This window comes from Homo sapiens, chromosome 4 (genome assembly GCF_000001405.40).
Source record: "Homo sapiens chromosome 4, GRCh38.p14 Primary Assembly".
NCBI classification, from domain to species: Eukaryota; Metazoa; Chordata; class Mammalia; order Primates; family Hominidae; genus Homo; species Homo sapiens.
The window spans coordinates 105,176,192-105,193,145 of NC_000004.12; the positions used below are offsets into that span (position 1 = coordinate 105,176,192).

General features: G+C 35.9%; 1 protein-coding gene and 1 long non-coding RNA gene across 14 annotated transcripts in view; one reads left to right on the forward strand and one right to left on the reverse strand.

The window, feature by feature from the left end:
* The window catches only part of TET2 (tet methylcytosine dioxygenase 2), a 133,929-nt gene that overhangs the window by 30,317 nt on the left and 86,658 nt on the right, over positions 1 to 16,954 (forward strand). For 11 of the 13 annotated variants that reach the window (XR_007057933.1, XM_024454103.2, NM_017628.4 and 8 more), the window contains one exon: positions 14,169 to 14,314. The exons of the other annotated variants lie outside the window; for them this stretch is intronic. The gene's annotated coding sequence lies outside the window, so the exon portion shown is untranslated. The remainder of the gene's footprint in view (positions 1 to 14,168; positions 14,315 to 16,954) is intronic. 13 annotated transcript variants of the gene reach the window in all.
* The window catches only part of TET2-AS1 (TET2 antisense RNA 1), a 181,528-nt gene that overhangs the window by 4,838 nt on the left and 159,736 nt on the right, over positions 1 to 16,954 (reverse strand). Inside the window, exon 3 of the long non-coding RNA NR_126420.1 lies at positions 1,401 to 1,481. This is a non-coding gene — a long non-coding RNA (TET2 antisense RNA 1). The remainder of the gene's footprint in view (positions 1 to 1,400; positions 1,482 to 16,954) is intronic.

The following is a 16,954-nucleotide window of genomic DNA, read 5'->3' on the forward strand; positions in this document are numbered from 1 at the left end:
ACTTAATTTTTAGAAACTCAAAGCTTTCCTGCTAAGATCAAGAACAAGACAAAGGTGTCTCCTCTTACCACTTTGTTTCCTACTGGAAGTGCTACCTAATGCAATAAGACAAAGGAAAGAAAATGAAAAGCATACAGATTCCGGAGGAAGAAATCAAACTGTCTTTGTTCACGGATGACAGTTGTTTATATGGAATATCCAAAGGATCAGAAAAAAGAAAACTGGAACTAATAAATGATTATTGTAAGGTTACAGAATACAAACTTAATATAAAGAAAGCCAATCACTTTCCTGTATACCAGCAATAAACAAGTGTAATTTGAATTAAAAACACATTACCATTTACATTAGCACCCCAAGAAATGAAATACTTTTGTATAAATCTAACAGAATATGTACATGATCTATATGAAGAAAACTACAAAAGTGTAATGAAAAATACCAGTGAACTAAATAATGAAGAGATGTTACATGTTCATTGTCAAGATGTCAGTTCTTCCCAACTTGATCTATAGATTCAGTGCAATGCCATTAAAAAACACAGCACGATATTTTATGGATATCAACAAAAGGATTCTAAAGTTTATATGGAGAGGCAAAAGAGCAGAATAGCCAACTCAGTATTTGAGGAGAACAACAAAGTCAGAGGACTGACACTACCTGGCTTTAAAGCTTACTATAAAGCTCAGATAATCAATGTAGTGGGTACTGGTGAAAGAATATTCAAATAGACCAATGGAATAGAATAAAGAGCCCAAACAAACCCATGTAAATATAATCAAATGATCTTTGACAAGGGAGCAAAGGCAATACAATGGAGCAAAGATGGTCTTTTCAACAAATAATGCTGGAAAAACTACACATTAACATACAACAACAAAAATTTTTTAAATCCAAATTGAGTGTAAACACAGATCTTATACCCTTTGCAAAAATTAACTTGAATCATAGACCTAAATGTAAAATGCAGAACTATAAAACTCCCAGAAGATAACACAGGAAAAATCCTAGATGACTTTGGTATGGCAGTGGCATTTTTTAGATACAGCTCCAAAGGCACGATACATGAAGGAAATGATTGACAAGCTGGACTTAACTAAAATTTAAAACTTCTGCTCTGTGAAAGACAATATTAAGAGAATGAGAAGACAAGCCACAGATGGAAAAATTATTTGCAAAAGATACTTCTCATAAAGGACTATTGTTCACAATGTGCAAACAACTCTTACAACTCAACAGTTTGAAAATGAACAACTCAACTTAAAAAATGAGCAAAAAACCTGAACAGACAACTCACCAAAGAAGATACACAAGTGTCAAGAAAGCATAGGAAAAGATGTTAAACATCATAGTCATTAGGGTATTGAAAATTAAAACAACAATGAGATACCGCTACATACCTGTTAGAATGGCTGAAGTCAGAACACTGATGAAACCAAGTGCTGGTGAGAATGTGGAGCAACAGGAACCTTCATTCATTGCTGGTAAGAATTCAAAATGGCATAGTCACTTTGGAAGACAGTTTGGCAGTTTCTTACAAAATAAACATACTCTTCCCATATGATTCAGCAATAGCGCTCCTTGGTATGGACTTGAAAACTTATGTCCTGGCCGGGCACAGTAGCTCACGCCTGTAATTGCAGCACTTTGGGAGGCCCAGGCAGGTGGATCATTTGAGGTCAGGAGTTCAAGACCAGCCTGGTGAAATCCCATGGTGAAACCCCAGCTCTACTAAAGATACAAAAAAGTAGCTGGGTGTGGCAGTGTGCGCCTGTAATCTCAGCTACTAGGGAGGCTGAGGCAGGAGAATCACTTGAGCCCAGGAGGCGGAGGTTGCAGTGAGCTGAGATCATGCCATTGCACTCCAGCCTGAGTGACAGAGCAAAACTCCATCTCAAAAAAAAAAGCAAAAACAAAAACAAACAAACAAAACTTATCTCCACATAAAAACCTGCACACATTGTTTAACAGCTTTACATAATTGCCAAAACTTGGGTGCAATCAAGATATCCTTTAATATTTGAGTGGATAAACTGTGGTACATCCAGATGTAAGAATATTATTCAGCACTAAGAAATGAGCTATCACATCATAAAACGACATGGATGAAACTTAAATGCATATTATAAAGTGAAAGAAGCTAATCCGAAAAGGCTAAATACTGTATGATTCCAACTATATGACATTCCGGAAAAGCCAAAATTATGGAGACAGTAAAAAGAGCAGTGTTTTCCAGAGGGAGGAATGTATAGGCAAATTTTTAGTGCAGTGAAATGAATCTATGTAATACTATAGTGGTGGATCCATGTCATTATACATTTGTCCAAACACGTAGGATGTAACCACCAATAGTGAACCCTAATGTAAACTATGGGGTTTGGGTATCAAAATGCATCAATGTAGGTTTATCAGTTGTAACAAATATACCACTCTGGTATGGGATGTTGATAATGGGGAAGGTTGTGGGTCTGTGGGGACAGGGGTATATGGGAACTTTCTACTGTTTTACTGTGAATCAATTTTACTGTAAAGTTTATTAATGTTAAAAAATTTAATGCACATGTACCCTAAAACTTAAAGTATAATAATAATAAAATAAATTTAGGCAATCTGAAAAAATGTTAATAAAAAAGAAAATAAACTAGTTGAATGTATCAGTTCATTTTCATACTGCTATAAAGTACTGCCTGAGACTGAGTAATTTATAAAGGAAAGAGATTTAATTGACTCACAGTTTAGCATGGCTGGGGAGGTCTCAGGAAACTTAACAGTCATGGCAGGTGACTTCACAAAGTGGCAGGAAGGAGAAATGAACGCAGAAGCAACTACCAAACACTTATAAAACCATCAGATCTCATGAGAACTCACTCCCTATGATGAGAACAGCATGGGGGCAACTGCCCCCATGATCCAATTACTTCCACCTGGTCTCTGCCTTGACACATGGGTATTATGGAGATTATGGGGATTATAATTCAAGATGAGATTTGGGTGGGGACACAAAGCCTAACCATATCAGTGATAAAACTATGTCTTTTCTTTTATGGGGTGCTATAGTGTTTCATTTCAAGTTGTCTTTTTGACCTCCATTTTCCAATTTCTGGTTAGGAAAAATAACTTTGTCTCCTCCTTAATTGACCCACAACCTTGTTTGCAATGAAGAATCAACACAAATCTTTCATTAAAAGAAATAGGGGAGGTGATGGGGGATATCCATGAGTGTCCATGGGCATAATTCAGTTGCCTTCATTCAATGCCAATGATACTGCAAAGCCTACAAGGCAAATTCATGTACCTACAGACAGACTCCATCCTTTTTCTCAAACTATTCAAGATAAAAAATCTTGTTTCATTTTATGTGAGGATTTTTTTCACCATCTATCCTCAAAAAATGAAAAATATCCTCTTCATTTGGGAAATGAGTGCTTATAATAGAAAGTAATTTGTAGTCAGCTGTTACACTTAGATGATTTGTGTCACCTCTGACCTGCTTTCTGATAATGCATGACTTCATTCATGGCTCTCTAGGTGACCTGTGTACCCTGACCTGGCATAAACCACTAGAGTATTAAGTCATTTCAGTGGCACATGTTTGAGGGAAGATTGACATCCCACTGGAAGACTATCTACAGTGAGATCCTCTAAAGCAGCTGCATTCCTAGTGAGGCATGATTAAGTTTATCCCACTATTAGGTTCTGGAGTATTACTTGTCATGCCCAAGAGGAAAGTTTTTCTAGCATGCAGAGTATCTGGTTTTTAATGGCTACTGAGCTGAAATAAAATGTGCCTACTAAGGGTTGTTCATTTGTCTGTCTCCCTTCTTTCACTGTTTTTTTTCTTGGAGGTTACAGTAGTTATGCCTTTCTGGTCAGCTGGCTGTTGACCTATCATAGAAATGACACTTTCACATCTTCAAGTGTAAGGAATTAGATGTTCCAGCCTTCACTTTGTTTCTCATCCAAAATCAATGACAAAACTTTCAGTATTGATTTCTCATGGCCTATGAACCTGAGTCAACTTGGCATAAAGGACTTTTCAGACAAGCTTCTCTAAATGCAGAGTCAGTGGCTTCTTTTTGCCAAACTCCACTTTGCTCAGTGATAACATTAAAATGGTGATTTGATTCATTCCTAGTCTAAAAATACTTCCTCATATTCCAAAATCTCAGTCATTAATACATGGAGGAAAATACAAATTATTACATGCCTGTGCTTCTCGGCTGTTGTAGATAGATAAAATATATACAATTGTGTTCTATAATTATTGAGTTCTTTTAAGTTTTATCTTTTTTTGTTTTACCAGGAAGCAAAATTATGTTTATTTCAGAGCTTATTTACTGCATTTAGAATCTCATGACACTTAAAAAACCTTTCTAAAACGTAAATATTCTCCATGATCTCCATGGTCACAAACAGTATTTCACGTTCTAATTGATATTGCCATTTTATCATTTTTTTTTTTTTCTTGGAGACAGTCTCACTCTGTTGCCCAGGCTGGGATGCAGAAGCACGATCTTGCCTCACTGCAACCTCCACCTCCTGAGTTCAAGCGATTCTCCTGCCTCAGCCTGCCGGGTAGCTAGAATTACAGGCATGTGCCACCACACCTGGCTAATTCTGTATTTTTAGTAGAGACAGGGTTTCACGATGTTGGCCAGACTGGTCTTGAACTCCTGACCTCAGGTGATCCACCCACCGCAGCCTCCCAAAGTGCTGGAATTACAGGCGTGAGGCACTGCATCTGGCCCTTTTATCTTTCTTTTAACTCAAATCCTCAAATATATCCCTCCATGTGAAGTTGCCTTCCCTAATTATGTACTGTCCTAGTTTAATCTTCATTCCTTGTTTGCCTCTATAAAACCAAGTTTAAAAATAGTCTCTGATTCTGTAAATCATCACTCTTATGCTCATTTATATTTCTATCTAGAATATTTTAAATCCTTTGTAACAAAGTTTCTACTATGCAGTCTACCTTTCTCAGCTACGATCTATATACTCCTTGGCCATGTCTTTTGTTATTGTGTGTGTTTGTCTTTGTGTGTGTCTGTATAGTAGTGGTTTGTAAATTCTCCATTTAGTCACAATATGCTTTTTGAGGATTTTCCTTTTCCTGGGAATTTCTTGATGATTTTTATTTTGTCATGTGATGAAGAATGTATGTCAAAGCACCACTGCAGAAATAGTGCTTTTCTATTTACTTGCACTCTTCCATCTTAGAAGAGCTGGTGATAGACAACCGACTCTTCTTTTATCTTGGTTTCTACAACACAGAGGTTGCTAAGCGACTTTAATCCCTTTTAACACAGGACAATCAACAACAAATTCCTTCTTTCTTTAGATTCAGATATTTCACTTAGAAAATCTAGCAAATAAAAAATGGTTTAAAACTTCTTTAAAATGTGTAATTCTGTACAATCTCCTACATCTGTAACCCCTGCCCCAAATATTTTTTACTTATGCTATTTCTTGAGCATTATGATATGCTTATTCATAGGCAATCAACTTGTAAGTAGCAATAGTGTAGCCCCTTCTAGGAAATCGAAGATGTGAAAATCCAGTTTAATGTGATAATGAGTTACTTTGATGAAAAATACTATGTCACAATTTGTTATAAAAATACTCATTTGGATTTCTGATTCACTTATATTACCCTCCAACCTTAAGTATGATTGAATTTATAGCTTTTTATACTACTTTCTTTATTTAGGGAGGAGTGTATTTAAATTCTGTTATCTCGGTTATTACTTGAAAGTTCAACCTCATACTTTCATTTTTATATAATTTTAATATTATGAAAATATTTTATGTAATTTTATGTATAATTCGAAAACATTTTTAAATATTGCATCTTTAAATTTTTATTTCTTTTATCAAATTTTCCCTATCATTTGTTCTCTGGCTACAACCAAAGTTAATAGTTACATTTTTTTCCAGTGACAAATGGTAATTTGCAAAGACTTGTAACAGTTGCTTAATACTTTTTTATCCCTTATTTAAGAATCATGCAAACAACCAGAGCTGATAGGCAGCAGGTGCACATGAGTGTGGCTGTGCTGATGGTTACTGAAAGATTTCCAAGGTAGCTAGTAATTCTGCTACCCTAAGCCACTATAGCTCCTTCCCCATTACTCCCTGGGTCTACCCACCATCCTGCAGCTAGAATAATAAATGGCATGTAGGTTCCTCTAGGATCCTCCTCCAGCACTATGTCTCATGCCTGGACATATGAGCTGTTAAATATTTTGATTATCACTCCTGTGTGGTAAGGGAGACGTCTACTTGTCGTAACTTGATGTTTACTAAACTACTTTTAAGATTACCTTATGATAAAAGTAGACACTTGCAATTTTGCAGAATGCATAGTTTGTTTTTAACAAACCAGGTAAACATAACTGCAGAGTTTTCCTATACGTTTTGAAATCTTTAAAAAAGTATTTTTTATTTGCCTTTCTATTAGAAATAGATTAGATAAAAATTTCCTTGTTTCAATTTTTAGAATGAACATTAGAGAATATTGTTACTGAAGGAATTTTTTTAAAAATAGTGACTGATCAAATGTCAGCAGCTTTATACTATAGTGTAAAATTTTATTTTGTAGTTTGCCATCCCATTAAGCATTAGAATTTTTATAATTGATCCTTTGATGTTTATATTCATGATATTAATGTAATGTCTTTAAACCTTAGCTCATATAGGTCATATGACTTAAAGCATCCTTAGATGAAGATATTTGGGCTATAAATAATTTATGACATAAGTGATTTAAAAATTCATTCTTTCCATCCATTTTGAAGAAATTGTAAGGTAGGGTTCATGTATACCTAATACTTATCCCCCCAAAATACGAAAAATAAAATCATTTTTAAAATATCTGGGTTAATGCTATAGATTGGAAGCAGTTTTTAAAAAGCACTTAAAGTCTACCAGTTTATTGATCCTCAATCTGTGGCTGTTTTAAATGGATGCAATTAGCAGTTCAGTCTAAGAGAACCATGGTAGTAGACTCATTACTCCCCAGAAACCATTACATCATTTTGTAATATTAAATTACTAAATATAAGGAATAGAATATATATTGTAAAAATTGCTTTGGAATCAATAATAAGTATTGTGGCTATCAATTATAGTTATATATTACAATGTAAGGGATATCCTTTTATAAACTTAATATCACACAAGTAGACTTAGAATAATTCCATTAATATAATTTTGCTTGTGTTTTTATACCTATTCATTTCAATAACTCTTTTTCCTATATATATTTTTTATCTCAAATTCGATAGTATCTAAATCATGGAATCATAAAACCTTAAAGCTGGGTTGGAACAGAAATAATACAATTTAACATCTTATAGGCTCTCTAGTCCTCAGTTTCCCTAAGTGATCGGCTCAAGATCATGAATTTATGGAGGATTAGAGTCAGAATTAGAACCCAAGATTAATTTATACTTTGTTATCTCTTCTACAGCCTACCCCCTTAGTTTGCCTGTGGGTTTATGGAAGTTACAGGAGAGACATTCTGAGATTCAGCTAAAAACCTAGCTCCCAATAGAATTATTGCCCTGTAGTCAGCCGCGCAAATACAATCACAAATACCTGAAGTTCCTTGTGTGAAGAAAAAGAAAATGACTATTAAAGCATCAAAATCAATGCAAGTTACCTTTCTTTGCCCCTTTCTTCCCCTTTCACTCCTTTCTTCTCCTATACTACTTGAAATTTCTAGCGGGGATCTCTAAAATGCCTGGATGTTAGGAATGGTAAGTCTATTGTAGAGAATTATATTTTCTATTTTAGTGGATGAAAAATAAACCATACCCTTAAGAGGCTTTTCAAAGTTAAGATTTTGAGCACATCCTTCATTGGCCCAGTCTCTGACCAGTGAGGTCAAGTATTAGCCAGTGTCAGAATGTCGTGAAAAGTTTGTGTTTCAGATGCAGAATTTTTTTTTGCATTTTCTGTGTGATGTTTATAGGGTATTTTCTTCTGAAATGTTTTCCATCTTGGTTTTTAAAAATATCTATTATTTTAAAAAATATTCCCTCATAACTTCTTTTTATTTTCGGAAACTATATAAATTGATCTGATAATCTATACACAATGCCTTGTGAATTTATACCTGTACCTCTCATGTTCCAGTGTTTGGTTCTTAAATAATCACTTTGTATAATGGAAATACTATGTTAAATTGTTTATAACTGGTGGTTGATATTTCAGCCTTGTTTGGCTATCGTAGTTATATAAAGACTGTTAATTAGAAACAACCTCATATGGTGTATGCTTGTTTTTATCTTCATGGAATTTGTTCTGCAAACACTGAGTTCTTTACTGGGAGTCACCACTTTGTCTATGTTAGGAGGAGCAGGAAGTGAATACATTTAAGGTCTTTAATTTTCTTCTTAAAACTTTGACTACTGTAGTGGTTTTTTAAAGCATTAACAGGAGAATAGCCATCACTGCCAAGTAGCTGACATTCTGAAATAGCACTTCCCTTTAGGCACTGTACAGTTGGAATCATTTACTTGCAGAGAGGTGTGTGTGTGTGTGTGTGTATTTATGTGTGTACTCATGTGTATAAGAATAGGAGAAACACTTTGTGGGCATATCCTGCTGAGGTGAGTAACGTGCTGATTAGTGAACTCCAGTCTCATCCCATTTAAACCTGGAGGAGAACCACATCAAGCACAGAAGCAGCCAAAGCAGCATTTCAACAGGAAGGAAACATCTATTACTGGGGCTTTGAAGAAACATGCCATGAAGGTGTACTAATATCACAAAGGGAAGGGAAGGACTAAATTCAGCATGATAAACAAAGTCCCTTTTTTGTAACGGAAGTGTTTGATGATGTTTGATCAATGGTGGATCTATCTCTTGAAAGGAAAATGCATTTAAACCCCAAATGGAGGATTCTTATATAAGGTGCCTAGCTTGTAATGATATATTCATGTTTATAGGTAGAGTGACTGGTTTTTAGAGAAGAGGTTTTTTTTTTTCCTTCATTTTTGAACGAAAACTTGTCTGTCTCTAGGCTTTGAAATGTAGAATTATTTACCTTTCCCCAAAATGAAATGTTTCACTGAATCTCCTACAAGCTTGTGGAGGCCATGAAGCATGTTGAATAAGAGCACAGGCTCTGGAGGCCCTGCCACCCACAAAGGGTGTGCTAAGGTAAACAACTGATAGTATTTTGAAAATTAGATGACTTAGAATCCATTCAATAAATTTTAGCTATTTTTATTGTCTTTTTTTTCTAAATCTATTTGGAAAATATTGCAGATAAAGTAGATAATACCTTTCTAAAACACAGTGAGACCAGGCGCAGTGGCTCATGCCTGTAATCCCAGCACTTTCGGAGGCCGAGGTATGCGGATCACGAGGTCAGGAGATCGAGACCATCCTGGCTAACACGGTGAAATCCCGTCTCTACTAAAAATACAAAAATTAGCCAGGCGTGGGGGCATGCGCCTGTAATCCCAGCTACTCAGGAGGCTGAGGCAGGAGAATGGCGTGAACCGGGGAGGCGGAGCTTGCAGTGAGCCAAGATCGCACCACTGCACTCCAGCCTGGGCTACAGAGCAAGACTCTGTCTCTAAAAAATAAAAAATAAAAATAGAACAGTGAATAGTTTATAAAGATAAAATAGAATAGGCTTCAATTTAGGGAACAAAGGAAAATATGTTTAGGAATGATATTATGCTCAAAATGATTGCAACTTTGATGGTGAAGTGTATTTTATTCAATTAAAAATGTAGATATGGCTGGGCGTGGTGGCTCACACCTGTAATCCCAGCACTTTGGAAGGTTGACGCAGGTGGATCACTTGAGGTTAGGAGTTTGAGACCTGCCTGGGCAACATAGTGAGACCTCATCTCTACAAAAAATAAACAAAAAATGTGCTGGGTGTGGTGGTACATGCCTGTAGTCCTAGCCACTTGGGAGACTGAGATGGAAGGATAGCTTGAGTCTGGGAGGTCAGTGCTGCAGTGAGCCGAGATCGTGCCACTGCACTTGAGCCTGGGTGACAGAGCAAGACCCTGTCTCAAGAAAACAAACAAAAAAACAAAAACAACAGTAGATATGTGTGTGGGAATGAGAACATTTAAATGTGCTCATCGGCTTAGATTTTTCTTTAACCCCCTTCATGGCCCTTATCTTAACCTCTGTCTTCAGCACTACCCTTCATATGTTTGTTCCGTTTTATCTTCTAAGTGATTTTTTTATAACTCTCAATGTATCATGGCAGAAGGAAAACTCAGTGTATAAGCTGACTGTATTTTGCATTTTCTTTTTTTTTTTTTTTTTTTTGAGATGGAGTCTCACTCTGTCACCCAGGCTGGAGTGCAGTGGTGCGATCTCAGCTTATTGCAACCTCCGCCTCCTGGAGGCGATTCTCCCGCCTCAGCCTCCCCAGTAGCTGGGACTACAGGCTTGCACCACCATGCCTGGATAATTTTTATATTTTTAGTAGAGACGGGGTTTCATCATGTTGTCTAGGCAGGTCTCAAACTCCTGACCTCAAGTGATCCACCCACCTTGGCCTCCCAAAGTGCTGGGATTGCAGGCATGAGCCACCGCGGCCTGGCTTCATGATCCAAAATAGCATCATTAAGCTTCTCTTTCAAAACATGTATATAAGCCTGTGAGTCATCACTGTATTTATCAGAATATTATCATATTGGAGACTTTGCAAAGCTGAACAAAGCCAGAATTATTGGCTACTGAGGAACTATATTCTAGCAAGAGACTATTCTATTTGTTGGGGATCACCTCTTTTTACTAAAGGGGACTGTTTTGGGCATATAAAACTAGAATTCATGGTTTCTCCTTGATAGTTTGCCAGCTTGATTCCCAGTCAACCAGATAACTGCTGGTAGTGACACTCATGTCCTCCAGGACTCCCAATCTTGTGCCAGCTCAGAGAGGGAAATCCCCCTAGAACTGCTCACACCATTCCAAGAACCACAAGCACCACCTTGGTATAGTTAAAAATGTGATACCAACTCAAATTCTGATAAAAACAAGTTCTATAAAGCTTAATAAAGTTATATTTTTTACTTTTTAAGTTTTGTTTTACTATTTTAAACAGAAAACAGAAGGTAAAAACTCCTCTGCCTTCCTCAGTATTTGGTTTGTCAGTTGCTGAACTCAGATTTAAGAGTCTAATCATATACAGGCAATAACCCTCTTCTAATCTTAATAATGTTTCTTTGATCATTTCTTTAAAAAGAAAAATGAAATAGCCTATTGACTCCAACCCTGACCTCCTGTACTTCACCTGCCTGATGAATATTTATTTGGAATACATAAGTTTTTTCAAATGCATCATGTCAAGAATTTGTCATTTCAGATTCCTTTCTAGAATTATCTATTTATCTCATTAGTAGCATCATTCTTTCAGACAACCAAACTCAAAAGCTTTATCACTATAATTGAATTTCTTTTTTCTTCTTACATTTAAAATGTTACTAAATGCCATTCATTTCTTTATCAGTAATATTTCTGTTTGATCATTTTATTTCATTTATTCTGCCACCCTCTCATTCCAACTATTGCTTATACTTGAGTACTGCAATAAGCCAATATCTTGCATATGATTATTTATAACACCTAAATCTTCTACCACTTCACACTCACTGGGATGGATATAATTTTTAAAACATACAATAACAGGTGTTAGTGCGGATATGGAAAAATTGGAACCCTGACACATTGCTAGTGGAATGTAAAAAGGTGCAGCCACTTTGCAAAACAGTTTGGCAGTTCATCAAAAGATTAAGCATGGAACTACCATAAGACCCAGTAGTTTCGCTCTTAGGGATTCCACTCTCAAGAGAATTGAAAACATATGCCCATACAAAAACTTATAAACATTGTATATCCATGTTTGTTGCAGCATTATTCACAATAGCCTAAAGGTAGAAGCAACCCAAATGCCTACAGATGGATGAATGGATAAACAGAATGTGGTATAGACATACAATGGACTATTATTCAACCTTAAAGAGGAAGAAAATTCTGACACATGCTAGAAAATAAATGGATCTTGTATACATTCTACTAAGTGGAATAAGCCAATCACACAAAGAAAAATATTATGATTCCACTTACATGAGGTACTTAGAATAGTCAAATTAATAGAGGCATACAGTAGAATAATGATTGCCAGGGGCTGGGAGGAGGAGCAAATGGGAAGTTATTGTTTAATGAGTATAGAATTTCTGTTTAGGAAGATGAAAAAGTTCTGGAGATGGGTGGCAGTGATGGTTGCACAGCAATGTGAATGTACTTAATGCCACAGAATAGTATACTTAAATATGGTTTGAATGGCAAACTTTGTTACATACATTTTATCACAATTAAAAAGTTTGAAATGAATATCCAAAGAAGCATTATTTATGAGGCTAAAAGTGGAAGTAACCCAAAAGTTCATCATTGATAGCTAAAGGAAACATGGCATATCAAAACAGTAGAATATTAGTCATACAAAGGAATAAAGTACAGACACATGCTGCAATACAGATGCACCTTAAAAACATTACACTAAGTGAAAGAAACCAGACGTAAAAGGCCAAATTTTGTATGGTTTTATATATATAAAGTCGTTCAAAATAGGAAAACCCATAAAGACTGAAAGTTGATTAGTGGTCACCAAGGCCCGGGGGAGGAATGAATGAAAACTGGCTCCTAATGGGTACTGGGTTTTTTGGGGCGAGGGGGACAGAGTGATGAAAATATTGTAGAATTTGATAGTAATGATAGGTGAGAGTGGCATAATTTTTTTTAATATACTAAAACCCACTGACTCATATACTTTACAAGGATGTATTTTATGGTATGTGAATTATATCTCAAAACACCCCTTAAATTTTAACGTATGGCTTTTATGATGCCATGTTTCTAAAGAAGCAACGTGTCCCAGTCTCAGCTTACTATTTCTAGGCATGTGACTTTGAGAAAAAATTAAGAGACCTCCCTTCTTACTCTGTAAAATGGGAATAATAATAATGATGATAATGATAATAATAATGATCTTACCAGATTTTTTTGAGTGTTAAATGAGGTAACATATGTAGTGCATCTAGCATAGTGTCTGGCATTTACCAAGAACCCCGGGAACCTGAGCTTCAACTGCTTCTGATACTATTCCAGATACTATTTCAGGATATTCCAATACTGTTTCCATATATTCAGGACAATGGACCAACTCCTTTAGCCATTTTATCAAAACTCTTTAGATTCTGTTTCAAATCGGTCTTTCCAAAGTCTTCTTGTGCTCCTTTGTAGACACTCTTCAGTCAGAGAGAGCTTTTTAATCTCCTCCAATTTGCTGCAGCTGTATCTGTGCCTCAAAACAACGCTTTCTCCCCATTCCTCTTTTCTCTCTGCCCTTGGAACTCTGTGGACTTCTCTCATGTTTTTAACCTACTCCCTTTTATCAGTGCATGTCATCTCCACTTATTTGTAGCACCCAATATTTTTACTACATCTTTGACCAATTAAGTCTTACTTGGGTTATGTTTTTAAAGTAGGTATCTTATTAGGTGGTCCTTTTAAAGTATATGTCCAGTCTCTCCAGCTAAATTAAAACCCTTGAGCACAGAGACCACATGTTATAATGTTTTACCTTTTCCATAGCACTTAGCATGTTACCTTGACATGGCATATACTGAATGAATGCTTGCTATTTATGAGTTTAGTTAGTGCCACATCTCATGAAGTACAGGGACTTAATGATTCTCAATCCTGACTTCATCTTACAGTCACCTGGAGAATAAAGTTTCCTCTTAGCTCAACAAGTCAGAATCTCTGAGCAAAATCCTCAACTTCTTACCTAGGTGATACTCTTGTAAGCCACACTGTGAACCACTGGATTCAACAGATGAAGTAATATAAGCCACTGGCTCTTAAGCCTCATTGATTATTGCGGTGAAGATGTGAAGACTAAAGATGCTTTGGGCATGGCAAAGTGTTCTACAGATATTAGAATTGTTATTATGGTACATTTGAGAGTGTCATTGCTTTGAGAAAGATTCTCTAAGTTTTTTAACAGCCACACTGTAATGGAAATATCCAATTATAGGTATCCAAAACCTTTTAAACTCTTTATATCAGGTGTATATACCCTGTTCCTTTTTGCTAACTTAAAAATGTTCAAACTCTGTCTTCTCTAGGCTGGCAAACATTCAGCAGCACACCCTCTCAAGATTGTTTACTTGCCTTTGCTCCTGTTGAGTTACAACGCTTGGAAGCAGGAGATGGGCTCAGCAGCAGCCAATAGGACATGATCCAGGAAGAGCAGTAAGGGACTGAGCTGCTGGTAAGACAGTGGAGACAGTTGACACTTGTTTGTCAAGTATGAATTTATTCCTAATGTAATGGTAATCTCTCTCCCAAACTTCAACTTCAAGTTACCCTGCACCCTCTCAAATACTTTTCTTTATTGTCTATGCTTAGGACACATGGATTAGATTGTTAAGATTTGTGAATTTACTAAAGTTGTGTACTGACTTATGTATAGCTGTATTTTTCTGGAGAAAGATAGATTTTTATCAATTCTCAATGTCTATGGAGTTTTTAAAAAGAGGTAAGGATTATTCAAATGTAACTATAAACATAAGAAAATGTGATATCTATAACCAGTTGTTAGAGTATTTATCGCCTCCATTTTGCTTCACTTGTAGCCACTTCGTCTCAATCTTGTTAAGGACCAAATAAATGGTATTTGTGGTTACTTGCTGATCTGAAAAGTGAGTACCTCCTGCACCTGGCTAGTCAGTCTTGTGACAATTTGGTGCCATAGAACTAGCAGAGAACTAAATTATGGAATGGCAGATCTCAGGAGCAGCTATGTGATTTTACATACGGTTTGTTTTTAATGGATAGAGACAGAGTCTGGCTATGTTGCCCAGGCTGCTCTGAAACTCCTGGGTTCAAGCCATCATCCTGCCTTAGCCTCTTAAGGAGCTGGGATTACAGGTGCATGCCCCCAGGCCCAGTTCATATGATTTTCTGAAAATACAAAAGAAAGAGGGAGATACAAAATACTTTTTTAATCATGTTCTTATAATTATCTTAATAAAAATCAATTTGCTCTGAATGCCATGACCTGCTGAGTGTCCCAACCTAAGGGTTGTCAGACCATTTTCTCATATATGCATGTATAGAAGTAGGGAACTAATATATTTTTGTCTAAAATGTTTAAGATGAAGATGAGAATGAATTCTACAATATATAATTTTGCCTGAACTATATAAGACAGTTAAAATTATAGAGACATTGCAGGAGAGACTCTGGATTAGATAGAAAAAAGGAAGAATTAGGCTTTTTTTTTGTCTATAATCCTTTTAGTAGGTAATTCAGCTTCAGTTTCACTAAATCTTGTTTATGCATTCAGCATAACAAATCTTCTAATAAGCCTGTATAGCTCTAATCTCTGCCTTACTGCAGACACCTGAGGATATAAGTATCCACTCTGCCACTTGATACTTCTCAGAGACTGTTCTGGTGCTGAGAAATCCTTTCCAGTGTGTCCTCAGTTGAACTCCCATGATTCCTGGATGTTGCCATTTTCAAGACACAGGGCAAGCGCATCTGTCTAGATTACCTCTCTACCTTGGGAATTTTAAGTCACTCTGTGAGGGAAAGAGAACTCAGTATAGTAGTAACTCTCAGAATGAAAATTTTCCCCTTGCATGTTAATATTTTTAGAGTAATCATTGTCACTGAAAATAGACTTCCTCTTTCCCCTCTCATGCTGGAAAATCTTAGGTAATTATGAATAAAGCATTCTTTACTTTTCCCCTCCTCCCTTGATGATTGCTTTACCTCACTCTGTGAGAACTGTGACTACTCATTCTGCTCTTGTCTTTTACATGAGAACTGAGAGCGCATTTTTAAGATGGAATTTTCCTCCTTAATGAAGTCATAACATTAGTCAGAAGATTTTCTCTTCTTGAACGTTAAGCCTGGGTAAGGAATAAAGTGCAGAAGTTTATGGAAAATTATAAGATAACTTAAAAAAAAAACGAAGACAACAAATTAAAATATTAGCCATTGAGGGAAAAGGTTTTACAGGTAGCTCTCTGAGGAGTTCTTCCCTCATATCTCCTCAAAAATCTTGTTTTGCATTTAATTTTTTACAGTTGGATAAGCTCAGCCCTTGACATATTTTCAATAGCAAATAAGCCTAGAGTTTATTTTTAGTACATTTATTAGGAATGTGTTCTTGGGAAAATTATTTAACCTCTGTAAGCCCTGCTTTAAATGGCAAAGAAGAAAGTAGGTAATAATAGATAATAACAGGATTATTTTATGCATTACCTGTACATTGCCCAACATATAGTAAGTTCTCAATTTTATATTGGTATTTGTTTTATTATTAACCACTTTTATTAATGTTGCTTTTAGTTTTTGAAATATGAATTCATTCAAAAATATTTCTTGAGCACCTGCCAAATACCAGGCACTCTTCTAGGAACTAGAGTGGCATTAATGAGTAAGAGGCAAAAATCTCTTCCCTTGTTGAGCTTAGAATCCATTAGAGTAAGAGACAGACACATACAAAATAAAATGTATAATATAGTAAATACCAAGAAGTGCTAAGTTTTAAAAATGTAAAGCAGAAAAAGGAAATTGAGTGGCAGGGTTAGGTAGTAATTGAAGATATAGTAGTCAAGTAAGGCAGCTTCAAGAGAAGATTATGTCTTAAATAAAAATCTGATAAAGATATAAAAACAAGCCATGAAGTTATCTGAAGGAATTGCAGGTAGTGGAGAACAGCCAAAAGACCTGGAGTAGTAAAAGGTTTTATGCAGAGTGATTTAAAAAGAATCACAGTATCTTATACATCAGTAAATATTTACACATACACTTAAGTAAGTGATATGGACAAGAACTTTGGAAGTTGAATAGCAAGGTCCATCTGGACTATAACAGAGGAGGCTTCACAAAGGAAGGT